General features: G+C 37.2%; 1 protein-coding gene across 3 annotated transcripts in view; it reads left to right on the top strand.

Moving 5' to 3' along the window:
- Positions 1–20,010, top strand: part of SAMSN1 (SAM domain, SH3 domain and nuclear localization signals 1) — a 174,190-nt gene that overhangs the window by 6,178 nt on the left and 148,002 nt on the right. For all 3 annotated transcript variants that reach the window (NM_001395858.1, NM_001395857.1, NM_001256579.3), the window contains one exon: positions 10,107–10,238. In NM_001395858.1, coding sequence (NP_001382787.1) covers positions 10,107–10,238 — 132 coding nt within the window. The remainder of the gene's footprint in view (positions 1–10,106; positions 10,239–20,010) is intronic.

Genomic DNA, 20,010 nt, shown 5'->3' with positions numbered 1-20,010 from the left:
TGTGTCCAAATCTTAGCTATTGTAACAGTACTGCAACAAATTGGGAAGTATATACCCAGCAGTGAGATTGCTGGAGCATATGTTAGCTCAATTTTTTGTTTTTGGGGAACCTCCAAACTGTTCTCCATAGTGGTTGTACTAATTTATATTCCCGCCAACAGTGAAATAGGGTTCCTTTTTCTCCACATCTTCACCAGCATTTACTAGTGCCTGTGTTTTGGATATAAGGCATTTTTAACTATGGTGAGATAACATCTCATTGTAGTTTTGATTTGCATTTCTCTGATGATAAATGACGTTGAGCACTTTTTCACATGCCTGTTTGCCATTTGTATGTCCTCTTTTGGAAATGTCTATTCAAATTCTTTTGCCCATTTTTTGATCAGATTATTAGACTTTTTCCTATAGAGTTGTTTGAGTTCCATGTGTGTTCTGGTTATTAATCCCACGTCAGATGGATATTGTGCAAATGTTTTCTCCCATTCTGTGGGTTGTTTCTTCACTTTGTTGATTATATCTTTTTCTGTGCGGAAGCTTTTCAACATACGAGACGATTTGTTCAGTTTTGCTTTGGTTGCCTATAGTTGTGGGGAATTGCTCAAGAAATCCTTTCCCAGACCAATGTCTTGAAGATTTTCCCTAATGTTTTCTTCTAGTTTCATAGTTTGAAGTCTTAGATTTAAGTCTTGAATCCATTTTGATTTTATTTACATATATGGTGATAGATGGGGGCCTAATTTCATTCTTCTGCATTTGAATATTTAGTTTTTCCAGCACTATTTATTGAAGAGACTGTCTTTTCCCCAGTGTGTGTTCTTGACATCTTTGTCAAAAATGAGTTCACTGTAAGTGTGCTGATTTGTTACTGAGTTCTCTATTTTTTACATTGGTCTGTGTGTCTGTATTTATGCCAGCACCATTCTGTTTAGGTTACTATAGCTCTGTAGTCTAATTTGAAGTCAGGTAATGTGATTTCTCCAGTTTTGTTCTTTTTGCTTAGGATAGCTTTGGCTATTCTGTGTCTTTTGTGGTCCCATATAAATTTTAGGATTTTTTTTCCATTTCTGTGAAGAATGTCACTGGTATTTTTACTGAGGTTGCATTGAATCTGTAGTTTGCTTTGAGTAGAATGGACATTTTAACAAAATTGTCTTTCAATCCATGAACCTATATTATTTTTCAATAAATCTGTGAACATAAACTATTTTTCATTAAATATTTTCAAATTTTTTATGTCCTCCTCAATTGATTTCAGCAATATCTTATAGCTTTTATTATAGAGATCTTTCACTTTGGGATTTAATTTTATGTGTGGCTAGTGTAAATAGGATTACTTTTTAATTTCTTTTTTATATTGTTGCCTGTTCTCATAGAAATGCTACTGGTATTTTATGTTGAAATTGTATCCTGCAACGTTGCTAAATTTGTTTATTAGTTCTAACAGTTTTCCTGAGGAATTTTTAGGGTTTTCCAAATCATATCATATCATCTGCAAACAGGTATAATTTGACTTCTTCATTTCTAATTTGGATGCCATGTATATCTTTCCTTGTCTAATTTCTCTAGCTAGGACTTCCAGTACTATGTGGAATAACACTGGTGAGCCAGGTTATATTCCAGATCTTAGAGGAAAGGCTTTCATCTTTTCCCCAGTCAGTATGATACTAGCTGTGGGTCTATTGTATAAGGCTTTTATTATGTTGAGGTATGTTCCTTCTAGACTCAGTTTTTTTAGGTATTTTTTTATCATGAAGGAATGTCAAATTTTTTAAAATGATTTTTTAGTATAAATTGATATAATAATATTGTTTTTAAACTTCATTCTGTGGATATGATGTATCATACTGATTGATTTGAATATGTTGAACTATCTTTGCATCCCTGGGATAAATCTCACTTGGACGATGAATGATCTTTCTAATATATTGTTGTTGAATTTAGTTTGGTAGTATTTTGTTGAGGAGTTTTGCATTAATATTCATCAGAAATATTGGCCTGTAGTCTTCTTTTTTTTTTGATGTGTCTTTGTCTGGTTTTGGTATCACAGTAATATTGGCCTCATAGAATGAGTTTGGAAGCATTCCCCTCTCCTCCACTTTTTGGAATAGTTTGAGTAAGATTGGTATTAATTCTTCTTTAAAGGTTTGGTAGAATTCAGAAGTGAAGCTGTCAGGTTCTGGGCTTTTCTTTAGTGGGAGATTTCTTTTTTCATGGCTTTGATCTTGTAACTTGTTATTGGTCTTTTCAGGTTTTGGATTTCCTCTTGGTTCAATCTTGGTAGGTTGTATGCATCTAGGAATTCATCCATTTCTTCTAGATTTTTTAAATATATTGGTATATAGTTGCTCATAGTAGCCACTAATGATGCTTTGAGTTTCTGCATTATCAGTTGTAGTGTCTACTTTTTCTTTTCTGATTTTATTTATTTGGGCTTTATCTCTTTTTTTCAGTCTGTCTAAAAGTTTGTTAACTTTGTTTAACTTTTCAAAAAACAACCTTTTTTGTCATTAATCTTTTGTATTTTTTTAAACTTCAATTTCATTAATTTTGGCTCTGACCTTTATTATTTTGTTTCTTCTACTAATTTGGGGTTTGGTTTGCTCTTACTTTTCTAGTTCCTTAGGATGCATTGTTGGGTTGTTCATTTGCAGTTATTCATCTTTTTTGATGTAGTCATTTATTGCTATAAACTTCCCTCTTAGTACTGCCTTTGGTGTATCCCATAGGTTTTGGTATGTTGTGTTTCTGTTATCATTTCTTTCAAGAAATTTTCCAATTTCCTTCTTAATCTCTTCATTGACCACTGGTCACTCAGGAGCATATTGTTTAATTTCCATGTTGTATAGTTTCCAAAATTCCTATTCTTATTAGTTTCTGGTTTTATTCCATTGTGGTAAGAGAAGATGCTTGATATTATTTCAACTTATTTAATGTTTTAAGACTTTTTTGTTTTACATATGTTGTATTCTTGAGAATGATCCACTTTCTAGGGAAAAGAATGAGTATTCTGCAGCTTTTGGCTGAAATGTTCTGTAAATATCTATTAGATCAATTTACTCTATAGTGAAGATTCAGTCTGATGTTTCTTTGTTGATTTTCTGTCTGGAAGATCTTTTCTAAGCTGAAAATGGGATGTTAAAGTCTCTAGCTATTATTGTATTTGGTCCTATCCCTCTTTATCTCTAAAAATGTTTCCTTTATATGCCTGAGTACTCCAGTGTTGGGTGCATATATATATTCAAAATGTTTATATCATCTTGCTGAATTGATCCCTTTATCATTAAATAGTGACCTTCTTTGTCTCTTCTTATAGATTTTGTGTTGAAATCTATTTTATCTGATATAAGTTTAGTGACTTCTGTTCTTTTTTGGTTTTCATTGGCATAGAATATCTTTTTCCATCCCTTCATTTTCTCTCTTTCTGTGTGTGTGTGTGTGTGTGTGTGTGTGTGTGTGTGTGTGTGTGTTTTGAGACAGTGTCTCACTCCGTCACCCAGCCTGGAGTGCAGTGGTATGATCTTGGCTCACTGCAATGTCCGCCTCCTGGGTTCAAGAGATTCTCCTACCTCAGCCTCCTGAGTAGCTGGGATTACAGGTGTGTGCCATCACACCTGGCTAATTTTTGTATTTTTAGTAGACATGGGGTTTAACCAGGTTTTTCAGACTGGTCTGAAACTCGTGACCTCAGGTGATCCATCCACCTTGGCCTTTCAAAGTGCTGGGATCACAGATGTGACCCACTGCACCCAGCCAGTCTGTATGTGCTTTAATTAATTTATTTTTTTCATAACTTTTTTTAAAATTTTTTCTTTTATTGTTATACTTTAAGTTTTAGGGTACATGTGCACAATGTGCAGGTTAGTTACATATGTATACATGTGCCATGCTGGTGCGCTGCACCCACTAACTCGTCATCTAGCATTAGGTATATCTCCCAATGCTATCCCTCCCCCCCTCCCCCCACCCCACAACAGTCCCCAGAGTATGATGTTCCCCTTCCTGTGTCCATGTGATCTCATTGTGCAATTCCCACCTATGAGTGAGAATATGCTGTGTTGGGTTTTTTGTTCTTGTGATAGTTTTTACTGACAATGATGATTTCCAATTTCATCCATGTCCCTACAAAGGACATGAACTCATCCTTTTTTATGGCTGCATAGTATTCCATGGTGTATATGTGCCACATTTTCTTAATCCAGTCCATCATTGTTGGGCATTTGGGTTGGTTCCAAGTCTTTGCTATTGTGAATAATGCCGCAATAAACATACGTGTGCATGTGTCTTTATAGCAGCATGATTTATAGTCCTTTGGGTATATACCCAGTAATGGGATGGCTGGGTCAAATGGTATTTCTAGTTCTAGATCCCTGAGGAATCACCACACTGACTTCCACAATGGTTGAACTAGTTTACAGTCCCACCCACAGTGTAAAAGTGTTCCTATTTCTCCACATCCTCTCCAGCACCTGTTGTTTCCTGACTTTTTAATGATCGCCATTCTAACTGGTGTGAGATGGTATCTCATTGTGGTTTTGATTTGCATTTCTCTGATGGCCAGTGATGATGAGCATTTTTTCATGTGTTTTTTGGCTGCATAAATGTCTTCTTTTGAGAAGTGTCTGTTCATATCCTTTGCCCACTTTTTGATGGGGTTGTTTGTTTTATTCTTGTAAATTTGTTTGAGTTCATTGTAGATTCTGGATATTAGCCCTTTGTCAGATGAGTAGGTTGTGAAAATTTTCTCCCATTTTTTAGGTTGCCTGTTTACTCTGATGGTAGTTTCTTTTGCTGTGCAGAAGCTCTTTAGTTTAATTAGATCCCATTTGTCAATTTTGGCTTTTGTTGCCATTGCTTTTGGTGTTTTAGACATGAAGTCCTTGCCCATGCCTATGTTCTGAATGGTAATGCCTAGGTTTTCTTCTAGGGTTTTTATGGTTTTAGGTCTAACGTTTAAGTCTTTAATCCATCTTGAATTGATTTTTGGATAAGGTGTAAGGAAGGGATCCAGTTTCAGCTTTCTACATATGGCTAGCCAGTTTTCCCTTCATGCTAAAAACTCTCAATAAATTAGGTATTGATGGGATGTATTTCAAAATAATAAGAGCTATCTATGACAAACCCACAGCCAATATCATACTGAATGGGCAAAAACTGGAAGCATTCCCTTTGAAAACTGGCACAAGACAGGGATGCCCTCTCTCACCACTCCTATTCAACATAGTGTTGGAAGTTCTGGCCAGGGCAATTAGGCAGGAGAAGGAAATAAAGGGTATTCAATTAGGAAAAGAGGAAGTCAAATTGTCCCTGTTCGCAGACGACATGATTGTATATCTAGAAAACTCCATTGTCTCAGCCCAAAATCTCCTTAAGCTGATAAGCAACTTCAGCAAAGTCTCAGGATACAAAATCAATGTACAAAAATCACAAGCATTCTTATACACCAACAACAGACAAACAGAGAGCCAAATCATGAGTGAACTCCCATTCACAATTGCTTCAAAGAGAATAAAATACCTAGGAATCCAACTTACAAGGGATGTGAAGGACCTCTTCAAGGAGAACTACAAACCAATGCTCAAGGAAATAAAAGAGGACACAAACAAATGGAAGAACATTCCATGCTCATGGTTAGGAAGAATCAATATCGTGAAAATGGCCATACTGCCCAAGGTAATTTACAGATTTAATGCCATCCCCATCAAGCTACCAATGCCTTTCTTCACAGAATTGGAAAAAACTACTTTAAAGTTCATAGGGAACCAAAAAAGAGCCCACATTGCCAAGTCAATCCTAAGCCAAAAGAACAAAGCTGGAGGCATCACACTACCTGACTTCAAACTATACTACAAGGCTGCAGTAACCAAAACAGCATGGTACTGGTACCAAAACAGAGATATAGATCAATGGAACAGAACAGAGCCCTCAGAAATAATGTCGCATATCTACAACTATCTGATCTTTGACAAACCTGAGAAAAACAAGCAATGGGGAAAGGATTCCCTATTTAATAAATGGTGCTGGGAAAACTGGCTAGCCATATATATGTGCTTTTATAGTTGAAGTGTGTTTCTTGCAGGCAACAGATTGATGGGTTATGTTTTTTCATTCATGCAGCCAGTCTATGTCTTTTGATTGGAGATTTTAGTTCATTTACATTCAATGTTATTATTGATAATTAAGGACTTACTCTTGCCATTTATTACTTGTTTTCGGGTTGTTTTATGGTCTTATCTTCCTTCTTTCTCTCCTTCCTGTCTTTGTCTAGTGAAGGTGACTTTGTCTGGAGACATGGTTTAGTTTCTTGCTTTTTAATTCTTGTATATTCATTGTATGTTTTTTGGTTTGAGTTTACCATGAGGTTTGCAAATATTATGACTCATTATTTTAACCTGCTGACAACTTAACACTATTTGCACAAACAAACAAGCAAAAAGAAAACTAATTAAAACTCTATACATTAACTTTGTCTCCCTGCTTTTTAACTTTTCATTGCTTCTATTTATGTCTTATTGTACTGACAGTGTCTTGAAAAGCTGTTGTAGTTATTATCTTTCATTGGTTCATTCTTTAATCTTCCTACTTAAGATTATTTTACACACCACAGTTACAGTGTTATAATATTCTGTATATGTCTGTGTACTTACTATTACCAGTGAGTTTTGTACCTTCAGGTGATTATTTATTGCTCATTACTGTCCTTTTCTTTCTGATTGAAGTACTCCCTTTAGCATTTCTTATAGGACTGACCTGGCGTTCTTGAAATCCCTCAGCTTTTGTATGCCTGGGAAAGTCTTTATTTCTTTATGTTTGAAAGATATTTTCACCAGATACATTATTCTGGGGTAAAAATTATTTTCCTTAAGCACTTTAAATATGTCATGCTACTCTCTCCTGGCCTGTAAGGTTTCCACTGAAAAGTCTGTTGCCGGACATATAGGCGCTCAATTGTATGTTATTTGTTTCTTTTCTCTTGTGGCTTTTAGAATTCTTTCTTTATCCTTGATAGTTGGGATTTGATTATTAAATACCTTGAGGTAGTCTTCCTAGGGTTAAATCTGCTTGGTGTTCTATAACCTTCTTGTACTTGGCTACTGATATCTTTCTCTAGGTTTGGGAAGTTCTCTGTTATTATCCTTTTGAATAAACTTTCTATCCCTATCTCTTTATCTACGTCCTCTTTAAGGCCAATAACTCTTAGATTTGCCCTTTTGAGGCAATTTTCTAGATCCTGTAGTTGCGCTACGTTGTTTTTTGTTCTTTTTTCTTTTGTCTCCTCTGACTGTGTATTTTAAAATAGCTGTCTTTAGGCTCACTAATTCTTTCTTCTGCTTATACATTCTGCTATTAAAGGACTCTGATGCATTCTTCAGTGTGCCAATTGCATTTTTCAGTTCCAGGATTTCTGCTTGATTCTTTTTAATCATTTCAGTTTATTTGTTAATTTATTGGATAGAATTCTGAATTCCTTATCCGTGTTATTTTGAATTTCTTTTGAGTTTCCTCAACACATCTATTTCAAATTATCTGAAAGGTCACATATCTCTTTCTCCAGGATTGGTCCCTGGTGCCTTATTTAGTTTAGTTGGTGAGGTCCTGTTTTTCTGGATGGTGTTGATGCTAGTAGATGTTCTTCGGTGTGTGGGCATTAAGGAGTTAAGTATTTATTCTAGTCTTCACTGTCTTGGATTATTTGTAGCTGTCCCTCTTGAGGAGGCTTTCCAGATATTTGAAAGGACTTGTGTTTTGTAATCTAAGCTGTATCTGCTTTAGGGGATATCCCAAGCCCAGTAGCACTGTGGTTCTTGCAGACTCAAAGTACCTCATTGATGGTTTTCGACCAGATATGGGAGAACTCCCTGGATGACCAGTCAGAGACTCTTGTTCTCTTTTATTACTTTCTCCCAAACATACAGAGTCTCTCTCTGTGTTATGAGTTACTGAAAGCTGGAAGTGGAATGACACTGGCACCCCTGTGGCTACCACTGCTGTGACTGTGCTGGGTCAGACCTGAAGCCAGCACAACACTGGGTCTTGCCCAAGGCCTGCTGTAACCACTCCCTGGCTACTGCCTGTGTTCACTCAAAGCGCTCAGGCTCTACAGTCAGCAGGTGGCAAATCCTGTCATGCCTCTGTGCTTCCCTTCAGGGCACTGAAGGCCCCCAGGCCCTGGGTGAGTCCAGAAGTGCAGTCCAGGAGTCAGGGATTAGAGTCTAAAACATTAGAAGTCTACCTGGTGTTATTGTATTACAGCTGAGCTGGCACTCAAACCACACCAGCCTTCCCACTCTTCTCTCCAGTTTTTAAAGACAGAGGAGCCTCACTCTGTAGCCATACCACCCTAGGTACAAGGAGTACTGCTAGACTACCACAGATGCTCTCTTAAGGCCCAAGGTCTCTTAAGTCAGCTTTTTGTGAATGCTACCTGGCCTGGGATTTACCCTGCAGGGCACTGGACTCCCCTCTGGCCCAGGGCATGTCCAGAAATGCCATCCAAGCATACAGTCCTGGAATAAGAGATTACAAGAGCCCAGTCAGTGCTCTACCCCCATGTGGCTGTGCTGGTACCTAAAGTGCAAGATAAAGTCCCCTTTGCATTTCCCTCTGCTTTTCTCAAACAGAAGTTTTCCTCTGTAGCCACCACAGCTAGTAATGTGCTGAGTCTCATCTAAAGCCACTAAGTCTCAGAGGCTTTCCCAAGGCCCTTGATGTAGTACCTGGGTATCACTGCTGGCTATTCAGGGCCCAAGGGCTCTTCGGTTAGCAGGTAATGAATACTGCCAGGACTGAACCCTTTCCTTCAGGGCAGCGGTTTCCTTCTGGCCCAAGGTTGCCTAGAAATGTCATCTGGGAGCTAGGGCCCGGAAGGGGGGTACCTCATGACTCTTATCAGTGCCCTATTATGCTATGGCTGAGCTGGTACCCTCGATGCAAGACAAAGGCCTCCCTACACTTCCGTCTCTCCTCAAGCAGAAGGAAGGGGTCTCTTTTGGAGCCTCAAGATATGCAGCCTAGGGTTAGGGGCAGGGTGATGCCTGCACTCCCTTGGCTGCCCCAACCGGTGTCTCAGTGTGTTACATGCCCCCTCAGTCTACTGTCTCTGGGCTTAGTTCACACTGAGACACACATAGGAGTTGCAGTCCTTGTGTTCTAGACTGCCTTTCAAGTTTACTGGAGACACAGAGTGCTGCAGCCCTGGGCGGCAAGGTTTGCAGGCACTCAACCTTGGACCATTGGGATCAGAGATTCCCTTCTGGCCAGGGCTCGTTTAAATGCTCCCTCTATGGCTGGGCATCAGCTGAGTTTGGTCTGGGTTTTCTTTCTTCTCTAACAGGACAGCACTAAGTTCAATGCCGCACGATGGCTGTGTTCTCCCTTCCCCAGATCCCAGAGATGCTCTCCACACCAGGCCGCAGGTGCCACGGTAGGGGAGGAGTGGCGTCGGAGATTCGGGACTGTTTTTTCTATCTCTTCAGTGCCTCTTTTAGTGATTTGATGTTAAAACCAGGTACTATGAGTGCTCACCTGAATTTTGATTCTTATGAGGGTGTTGTTTTTCTGTGTAGATAGTTGTTAACTTGGTGTCCTTATTGTGGAGAAACGATCAGTGGAGCTTTCTATTCTGCCATCTTACTTCGCCTCCTCTGCCATTGAAACTGCTACTTTACAGTTGAGAAAGCTAAGTAGAGCAGACTGTATTTCTTATAAAGGGAGGTGGTACCAATTAGAGACATACATGTAACTCAAATCTGTAACCAACACAGTTTATTGGTGTCTCAAAAGGCATTTATTTAGTTTTTTGAGCTTAATGTCTTCAACATACCTCTTGAGGAATTCCCTCATTGTGTGCCTGCCTCTGCAACACTTAAACTCTTGTTTAAATTCTTGGCTCTGTAATAATGGTGGTAATAGTAATTCCTGGCTGTGTAATAATTCCTGGCTTTACTGTATTGTTCACTGTTGAAAGTTAGCATACTGTAAACTCTTAATCCCTATGCCCAGGATAATTTAAATAAAGTACTATATAAAGGTGGGTGTATAAATTAGGTACCTTTTAAAGGAAAATTATTATTCTGTTATTCCTTGACTCATAAATCTCTGTATTGCAGGAGGGCTCTATGGATAGCTTATATGAGCCAATCCCAGAGCAACAAGCTAACCAAGAAAACATGTCTAGTAGAACTGATTCTCCTATCCCACCCTTTGGAGAGAGTGAACAAACACCAAACAATCTCTTCGTGGTGAGTGAAGCATTGACTGGAGTGGATTTTTTTTTCTCTATTATAGTTCTAGAATCTCTTGCCTAATGATACTTATTAATACAGCAAAAATTCACTGTTCTCAGAAAGTTATTCCTTTTCCTTTAGTTTCTGCTTTTCTCTTTCTTGTTGTCTTTTTTATGATTTTGGCTTATTAATATGAACCACCATTTATTGAATGTGCACTAGATGATTATATAAGTTAACACAATCCTCAAAGCAACCTTATGACTATAAATAATTATATCATTTTCTAGATTTGGAAGTTGCGAGAAAGAAAGGCAAGATAAGATACTAAAGGCTATAAACTATTAAGTGTTAAAGTTGGCATTTAAACAGATACATATCTGAATCAGTAGTTTCTGGCAAATCAGGTGGTGGTTGTGAGGGAGACCTAGATTTATGCGTTTGTCAATTTCCACAGTGTAAATGCTCCACCATGGCCAATTTCAAGCTACCCATAGTTTAACTACAGGTTTGCAGTATCTGAATATTTAGTTAATAATTATCTCAAGTGCTGATTCTGACACATCACTGGCTGCTTTCAAAGTTTATGCTCTAACCACTGTAATAAACTGTTTCCTGAATTTATGGATACACACCATCATTTGTAAAAGGTAAGTGTTACAAACTGGCAAATGCAAATTGTTCTGTGAATTATCTTTAAAATTACTAGAGATAGAGTTCTCTGCATTATACAAAATTGTACCTGTCCCTGTTTAACAGTGCTGGCTATTCTAACTCTTGTGCAATTGATCTGTCTTTAAAATACAGTCAACCCTTGAACAACATGGGTTCAAGCTGTGCAGGTCCACTTATACACAGATTTTCTTTCGCCACAACTGCTCCTATTCCTCGTCCTCCTCAGCCTACTCAATGTGAAGATGACAGGAATAAAGACCTTTATGATGATCCACTTCCACTTACTGAATAATAAATGTATTTTCTCTTGCTCATGTTCTTATTAACATTTTCTTTTCTCTAGCTTACTTACTTGTAAGAACACAGTATATAATACATATAACATACAACATGTGTATCGATTGACTATTTATGTTATCAGTAAGTCTTCCAGTCAATAGTAGACTATTAGTAAAGTTTTTAGGGAGTCAAAAGTTATATGAAAATTTTGGACTACATGGGGTGTCAGCAACCCTAACCTCCATGTTGTTAAAGGGTCAACTATAATTTAATACATATAAACTTCTTTTACTTTTGTTGTGGCTTAGGACAATATAAACCAGCCTATGTCTACTACAGATAAAGAACTTCCATATACTTACAGATTTAGATGCCACTTCCTGTTCTTAAAATCACACTTTTCCTGATAACACAAAAAATAATAATGATCATTTATTCAGTGCCTTATTTTTGTAAGGTAATAGATGTATACATGAAATTATTTATGTTTATTCTCACAACAATTTTAGAGAGATTTAGAAATGTTGAAAAGGTTAAATAACTTGCCCACTCAAAGAGAGGATGCACCAGGATACAAACTCAGATCTTTTGTGCTTTAGAGAAAGGGTAACAACAAATTACTTTTAAGTTTTGCGCTTACCTTCACATATACCTATTTTGTTCTTTGGGTGCATTAAAAATGGCTTATTATCATAGCTTTCAAAGTTTTGGTTTTTTGAAAGCTTGGAGCAATTAGAAAGCAATGTTAGAAAGCAAGTTTAATAATAAGTCTCAGTAACATAAAAATAATACAAAAATATTTTTCAATGCAGTGGAAACTCTTCCCTTACCTTTACACCTTTTTTAATGTCTCTAAGATGTTGGTGTTGCTAGATATGCATAAGAGGGGGCAATAATATTTTGCACATATTAGTGTGAGAGATATAAACCATTCACATGGAGGCTGTCAATTGACAATGCAAATTGTTCATAAGCATTTTCACCCCACAATTAAAAAGAAAAATTGAATAGGCTGAAGAGCCTGAAGATATTTTTTTAAATGTCTCACACATTTAAGTAAATATGCATAAAAACCAAACCATTTCATGGCCAACTAGTCGACTAAAATTTTTTCAAACTTCATTTATATTGCAAAAGAAGACGAGAATGATAAAAACATGATTTAAATTGCTATAGCTCTGTCTTTCTCTGTAATTTCTCAGCATTTAATTAAAAATATATGTATACATACAAACATGTATGTATGTATACAGGCATACTGAAAAGTCAGTTCAACCCTCAATTTCACTTTTTAGTTGTTGAATTATGTCATTCCCATCAAAGTATTATTAATACTTATTATATTCCGAATGAAAATTATTTCACAGCTTAGATGAATAAAGTTAATTTTTTAAATAATTAAATCAAGGTATTTTAAGTACCTGCTTTCTTAGTATCCCCAGTTAATGGTTTGGAGCTTTCCTATATTTCTTTCTCAGCTTTTGAAGAATAGATTTTTTTCTTTTTCTCCTGGTATTGGCACTTCCTTCCCCCATCTTGATGTAAGGAAAAAAAGTTTCGGACCAGACTTAACAGTACCAGAAAAAAATATTATTCCATTTGGACTGGTTCCTCAGAAATACTCTGAAATCACCCTGAAATACTCTGAAAGCTAATGGAGTTATGGCTCAAGCTTCCAGTCCTCAATCCGGGTATTTGTAACCTTTCCAGAGAAGAGAGTTACTCCCAAAATCTCTAGAACCAAACTGACAATACAACTATTTGTTACGGAGGAAACTATAGCCCATAATAAAAATAATGTCAGTTGCCACATGAATTGAAAAAGGAAAATCAAAATGAGAGAAGAATCCTTGGCTTTTGGCTTCCCTTATGAAATATATTATTTATTCATACTTACTAGGAATTTCACCCTTTGGATATCACTGCTTTGAACATAGTGGGAGTTCCATAGATGAACATAAGATCATCAATATTCTCAAAGGAGATGATCCAGTGTAGTTCATATGTATAATTATGGGGTAGAGGCATTGAACAGAAAGAGGTTTATTTGGGGGTTTTAAATGAAGAATATCATACATCATCGTAAATGCCTAGTTTGTATTTTAATTGCACTTTCAGGAAGGTTGATAATGGATAGCTCGTCCAAAGAGAAACCAATTTAAGATATAGGACATTATTAAATGTTTAAAAGAGAAATAATAGGTGATCCACTTGCAGTATATTAGGAAAGGCATAAAGTATTGGAGGACAACGGCCAAAAACTAGCGGGAGTGAACAAGCATGCGGCTAAGTAAATGCGCTGAAAAAAAAACTAACATATTAGCCTAAGGACTGATCACTCCATAATGTTATTTTAAATGTAGCCTGTAACTGCTTGATTCTGTATCTATTTTAGTATCTCCTTATGTCTGAAGCTCACAAAGTATTTGAATTAGAAAAAGAGTGAGAATGCTATGGTTTGGATGTCTCTCCTAAAGTTCATGTGTTGGAAATTTAATCCCCAGTGCAATCATATTGACAGGTGGGACTTTTAAGAAGAGATTAATAGATCATGAAAGCTCTAATCTTACAAATGGATTAATGTCGTTATCATGAGAGTGAGTTTGTAATCAAGAGTGGGTTTGTTATAAAAGCCAAGTTTGGCCCTCTCTTGTTTTCTTTGTTTTGCCCTCTTTTGCCCTTTTGCTTTCTGCCATGGAGTGACACAGGAAGAAGGTCCTCACGAGATGTGGCCCCTCTGTCTTGGACTTCTCAGCTTCCAGAACTGTGAGCCAGTAAATTCCTGTTTGCTATAAATTACCCAGTCTCAGGTATTCTGTTACAGCAACACAAAACAGATTAAGACAGAGAACATAAAATGTTTGTATCTCTGCCAATTTGGGGCTAACTGGATCAAGCCTGAATTATCTGACTTGCTGTCTATATTGACTGAAGTAAGCAAATAATTGTCAATTTTCCACTTCATTTTGTATCTCATAAATTAATAGAAAACTTGAGCCTTTTAAAAAATGTGCTTAAATGTGGGTCAAAGGCATTGTTCCTATTATTCATATCTTCTGCATAGTGGTCATTCAATAAATATTTGTCAGCTAAATAAATGGATCAGTGAAGGTTCATTACTCAAGCTAAAGAAAGTCTTAATAATAATGGAGAGCCAATGATGCAGCGGATAAAATTGTCAGCTTTGGATTTGAGCAGTTGTGGATTCTCTTTCTAGCTCTGTCACTTAGAAGCTATATGACCTTGGAAAGTTGCTTCAAGTCTTGCAGTCTCTATTTCCTTACACTGTAGAACAAGGTGAATAATGTTCCGTATAAATTTGCCAAATTCAACTGTGGAAAACAGAATCTACTCTTGCTACTAGAAGCAGGCAGGATTTAGCATAGAAGTTAGAGAACGCTCAGAAGGGCTGATTTTCACTCTACAGTAGGGACTGAAAATCATAGCCTTAGGCAGCCCGTAATTGTATCATGCACGAGCTAAAAATAGCTTTTATATTTTTAAAAGTATATTTAAAAACAGAAACAAAAATAAAGGAGACAGTAGAATGCAATAGAAACTGTGTCTCACAAACCTAAAATATTTCTATCTGATTTTCACAGAAAAAGTTTGCTAACCCCTGCCCTAGAGCTACACTGTACAACCACAGGTGGCAATTGAGTACTTGAAAAGTGACTAGTCCAAATGCAGATGGACAATAAGTGTAAAATATATAATATGTTTTACAGACTTCATATAAAAAATGAGTAAAACATAGGTTATTAATAATTTTGTAATGATGATTTGATGAAGTGATAATATTTGATATATTTTAGGTAAAAAGGAAATTTTGCTCATTTCCTTTAACATGGCTACCGGATGTGGCCTCCACTTTCACATCCCACTTTCCAAATTTCACAAGGATTCGTATAATCTGCCAAGTCTAAATCATATCTGCTATCCAAGCTTTGCGGGAATGTATATAATGTGGTTTTTAGTCTTCTGGTTTTTGCAAAGAGAAAGACACACCAGAAGGTAGGTGGGGGAATGTTAAGGGGAAGTCTACTATGTCCACCACTCTCCCCTCCCAGGATCTTTAATCCTTATCATAATTGGTGTCACTACACTCAAACCAAAACACACACACACACAAACAGTGCCATCTCACCACTGGAACTCCTTTGCAGTGTACGTGAAGGATGGCTGGCTTTCAGAAGGTGGCTATCTTTTGTCTCTAGAGAATATAATTTGTGTTAAGCCGGCCCCAGGCACAGCTTTATGGTAACATTTAAAATGAGTTGGATATAACAACCCCTCTGCAATACTTGGGTCCTGTAAACTGTTAATAGATTAAGACCTTTTTTTTTTCAGTTAAGATACAGACTGATGACCAAAACAAGCAAGATTATTCAATCACATTATTTTAGAGAATAAATCACAAGGGAGTTGATACACAAAATCTTTGCTGCAACTTCTGGCAGTCATTCTCAATAGCAGCTGAATTGAAGGATTACCTGAAGACAAACAGATACCCAAACCCCATCTTGGACCTATTACATTGCTAAAAGACAATTACAGCAGTCCTGTCCATTAGAAATATAACGTGACTCACACATTTTAGTTATTCTAGTTGTCAAAATAAACTGTTTTAAAAAGAGAGACAGGTTAAATTAATTTTAATAACATATTGAATTAAGCCAATATAGCTAAAGTATTATCATTTCAACATGTAATCAGTATAAAATTAATGAGATTTTTGTATGCTTGTTTCTAAACTAACACTTTGAAATCTGATGTGTATTTTATAGTTAAGAGCACATTTCAGTTCGATGCTGAAACTTCAATGGTTTAAGTGCAATCAGTCCCAGCGAAAAAAATCTCACCTTTGGTTTTAAATTAAAATTAAAATTAAATTAAATTAAAATTCACTTCCTAAGTTGTATCAGCCACATATTAAGCACTCAATAGCCACTTGAGACTATGGATGGCTGCCATATTGGACAAGGTAGGATTGAAGGCTTGAAATTGCTGATGGCGCAGAGGCATAAAAGTAACCAGATAATATCAATTCTCCTCTTCACTTAGGGAAGTATAGATGTTAAAGTATAAAAATGTTTGATGATAGGCAATTAGTTATAAACTTTTTGAAAGAGCACAGATGTTAAAGTATAACAATACTTGATAATAAACAGTTATACACTTTTTTTTGTTTGTTTTTTTGAGACGGAATCTCGCTCTGTCGCCCAGGCTGGAGTGCAGTGGCAGGATCTTGGCTCACTGCAAGCTCCACCCCCAGGGTTCAAGCAATTCCACCCCCAACCCCGCCACCGCCTCAGCCTCCCGAGTAGCTGGGACTACAGGTGCGTGCCACCATGCCCAGCTAATTTTTTGTATTTTAATAGAGACAGGGTTTCACCATGTTGGCCAGGATGGTCTCAATCTCCTGATCTTGTTACCTCGTGATCCGCCTGCCTCGACCTCCTAAAGTGCTGGTATTACAAGCTTGAGCCACCATGCCTGGCCAGTTATATCCTTAGAGATAAAATTATAGGAAACACATCCATTTACCAATGAGGAAGATGAGATTAGTGACTTGACTGCAGTGACAGATGGAGTCTAGGCTGGAGTTCTGGATCCCAAGTAGTAGTCCTGTTTTTTGGTCTCTCTGCCACAAGTGTGTGCGGTGGCAGTGGGGTGAGGAGTTATGTGCATGCACGTGTACACAAGAGTGAGAGAGATTAAGAGGGGTTGATTAGAAGAGTGTCTTTTTGGGAGATGAGAAGTGAGGAAGAGGGAACGATGGTAGGAAAAATAACCCAACCTTATAATACATGTGCTAAATATGTTCTGATATCTAGAGAACACAGTGAAAAGAACTTGAGATGGGTGAATAGACTTACATTTTATTTCTGCTCTCAGACTGGGAACGGTGTCTTTGGGAATGTGATTGAATTTCTCTGACCCTAAGTTTTCTGAGCAATAGAATATGAATAAAAATTTATGTCTCTTGCAGAAATCCAAAACACTGCATGTTCTCACTCATAGGTGGGAATTAAACAATGAGAACACTTGGACACAGGGCAGGGAACATCACACACCAGGGCCTGTTGTGGGGTGGGGGACTGGGGGAGGGATAGCATTAGGAGAAATACCAAATGTAAATGATGAGCTGATGGGTGCAGCAAACCAACATGGCACATGTATACAACGTTGTGCACATGTACCCTAGAACTTGAAGTATAATAATAATAATAATAATAAATTCTGTCTCTTGGTTTGCAGCGAGCATCAAATGTTGTTGTAACCCTCTTTAAGCACCTGGCATGGTGCATGTTAATGATCATTGCCTTTCCTTCTGCAAACCACCACACCCGGGCAGAGTAATCTTTTAATTTAGTATCCTTGATTAAATGACTTTAAGTCAAACTCTCACTTAATCTTGGATGTTATTTTAAAATAACTGCTTAAAATAATTTGCAATCAATGCTTCTTATCTAAAAGTATTGATTTTTACTGGACAAGAAGAAGCAACAGGATTTACTGTTGATGCGCATTAGAAAACCCAAGATTTTAATCTCCACAAATTGCCTCAGACACCTAGGTATAGTGGAGTGTTTGACAACTCAGCCTTAGATTTCCCACCAAATGTAGACAGCTGTAAACAAGAACATCTATTATAGTGGTATTTTTTCACCTACTAATTCATATTTCAGGGTTTTCTTTTCCTTTTAAATTTTTTTCACTTTAAGTTCTGGGATACATGTGCAGGACATGCAGGGTTGTTACATAGGTATATGCGTGTCATGGTGTTTTGCAGCACCTATCAACCCATCATCTAAGTTTTAAGCCCCGCATACATTAGGTGTTTGTCCTAATGCTATCCCTCCCCTCGTCATTGCCCCCTAACAGTCCCTGGTGTGTGTTGTTCCCCTCCCTGTGTCCATGTGTTCTCATTGTTCAACTCCCACTTATGAGTGAGAACATGTGATGTTTGGTCTTCTGTTCCTGTGTTAGTTTGCTGAGGATAATGGCTTCCAGCTTCACCCATGTCCCTGCAAAGGACATGATCTCATTCCTCTTTATGGCCACATAGTATTTCATGGTGTATATGTACCACATTTTCTTTTCCAGTCTATCATTGATGGACATTTAGGTTGGTTCCATGTCTTTGCTATTGTGAATAGTGCTGTAATAAACGTAAGTGTCCATGTATCTTTATAACAGAATGATTTATATTCCTTTGGGTATATACCCAGTAACGGGATATATGGGTCAAATTGTATTTCCGGGTCAAATGGTATTTCTGGTTCCAGATCCTTGAGGTATCACCACACTGTCTTCCACAGTGGATGAACTGATTCACATTCCCACTAACAGTGTAAAAACCTTTCTATTTCTCCACATCCTCGCCAGCATCTGTTTTTTCTTGACTTTTTAATAATCACCATCTGACTGGTGTGAGATGGTATCTCATTGTGGTTTTGATTTGCATTTCTCTAATGATCAGTGATGTTGAGCCTTTCTTCATGTTTGTTGGCTGCATAAATGTCTTCTTTTGAGAAGTATCTGTTCATCTCCTTTGCCTACTTTTTGATGGGGCTGTTTATTTTTTTTTCTTGGAAATTTGTTTAAGTTCCTTGTAAATTCTGGATACTAGACCTTTGTCACATGGTAGATTGCAAAAATTTTCTCCCATTCTGTAGATTGCCTGTTCATTCTGATGATAGTTTCTTTTTCTGTGCAGAAGCTCTTTAGTTTAATTAGATCCCATTTGTCAATTTTAGCTTTTGTTGCAATTGCTTTTGGTGATTTCATCGTAAAATCTTTTCCTGTACCTACGTCCTGAATGGTATTGCCTACGTTTTCTTCTAGGGTTTTTTTTATAGTTTTGGGTTTTAAATTTAAGTCTTTAATCCATCTTGAGTTAATTTTTGTATAAGGTATAAGGAAGGGGTCCAGTTTCAGTTTTCTGCATATGGCTAGCCAGTTTTCCCAGCACCGTTTGTAAAATAGGGATAATGATAATAATAAAATTAAATATTTTAAAAATCAAGTTTAATTTTTTATACACTTACTCATCAGCATTTTGTACTGATAAAAAGCACTGGAAAAATCCATTAAATTATTCCCAGCTACTAGATATTAATGAGAAAGTAATATAGCAGATTCAAGCATAGTTTTAAAGACAAACAATATGATATGTGTCCAACAGTTGGTTAGAGCTCAGCACTAATGAGGCCAAGGTCAGGAGTTAATCCCCTCATGGCTAGTTAGTTTTGTTCTATTTCATAGCCAAAGGCAGCATCCATGACCTCAGATAGCTGACTTGGATATGCACGCTATTGACCATTAGGGAGTCTCGGCTGAAGGATAGAGGGCACCAGCACAAAACCATTGCCCATTATGGGAAGAACAACTGAAGGGTAGAACTACCCTGCTCCATTTGTCCATGAAGATTTTCCTCTACTATAATCATATTAGGCCACCAGGCATAATTCTCCACTTTCAACTTGGGATAACTTATCAGACAATAGTAAGAGCATTAAAATGGAAAACTGAGTTCTCCTTCTGGCTTGGTTCCTAAATAGAACTTGATTAAGTCATTACCCAATCCAGAACCCAGTTTTTACCTCTATAAACTAACAGAGTTAGACCAGATGTTTTTTAAGGCCCCATGCTGCACTAAAATGGCTCCATAAATACATTTAAGATTTTTCTGGAGTGGAGCGTTGTCCAACATTAAACTCTATTACTTTCCTTTTGGTAGTGCAGAAGGCAAAATTTTAAAAGGACCTCAGTGAACACCACTGTATTAATCAGGGTTCTCTAGAGAAACAGAAGTAATAGGGTGTGC

This window comes from Homo sapiens, chromosome 21 (genome assembly GCF_000001405.40).
Source record: "Homo sapiens chromosome 21, GRCh38.p14 Primary Assembly".
Taxonomy (NCBI): domain Eukaryota; kingdom Metazoa; phylum Chordata; class Mammalia; order Primates; family Hominidae; genus Homo; species Homo sapiens.
This window is presented reverse-complemented; position numbering and strand designations above follow the sequence as displayed.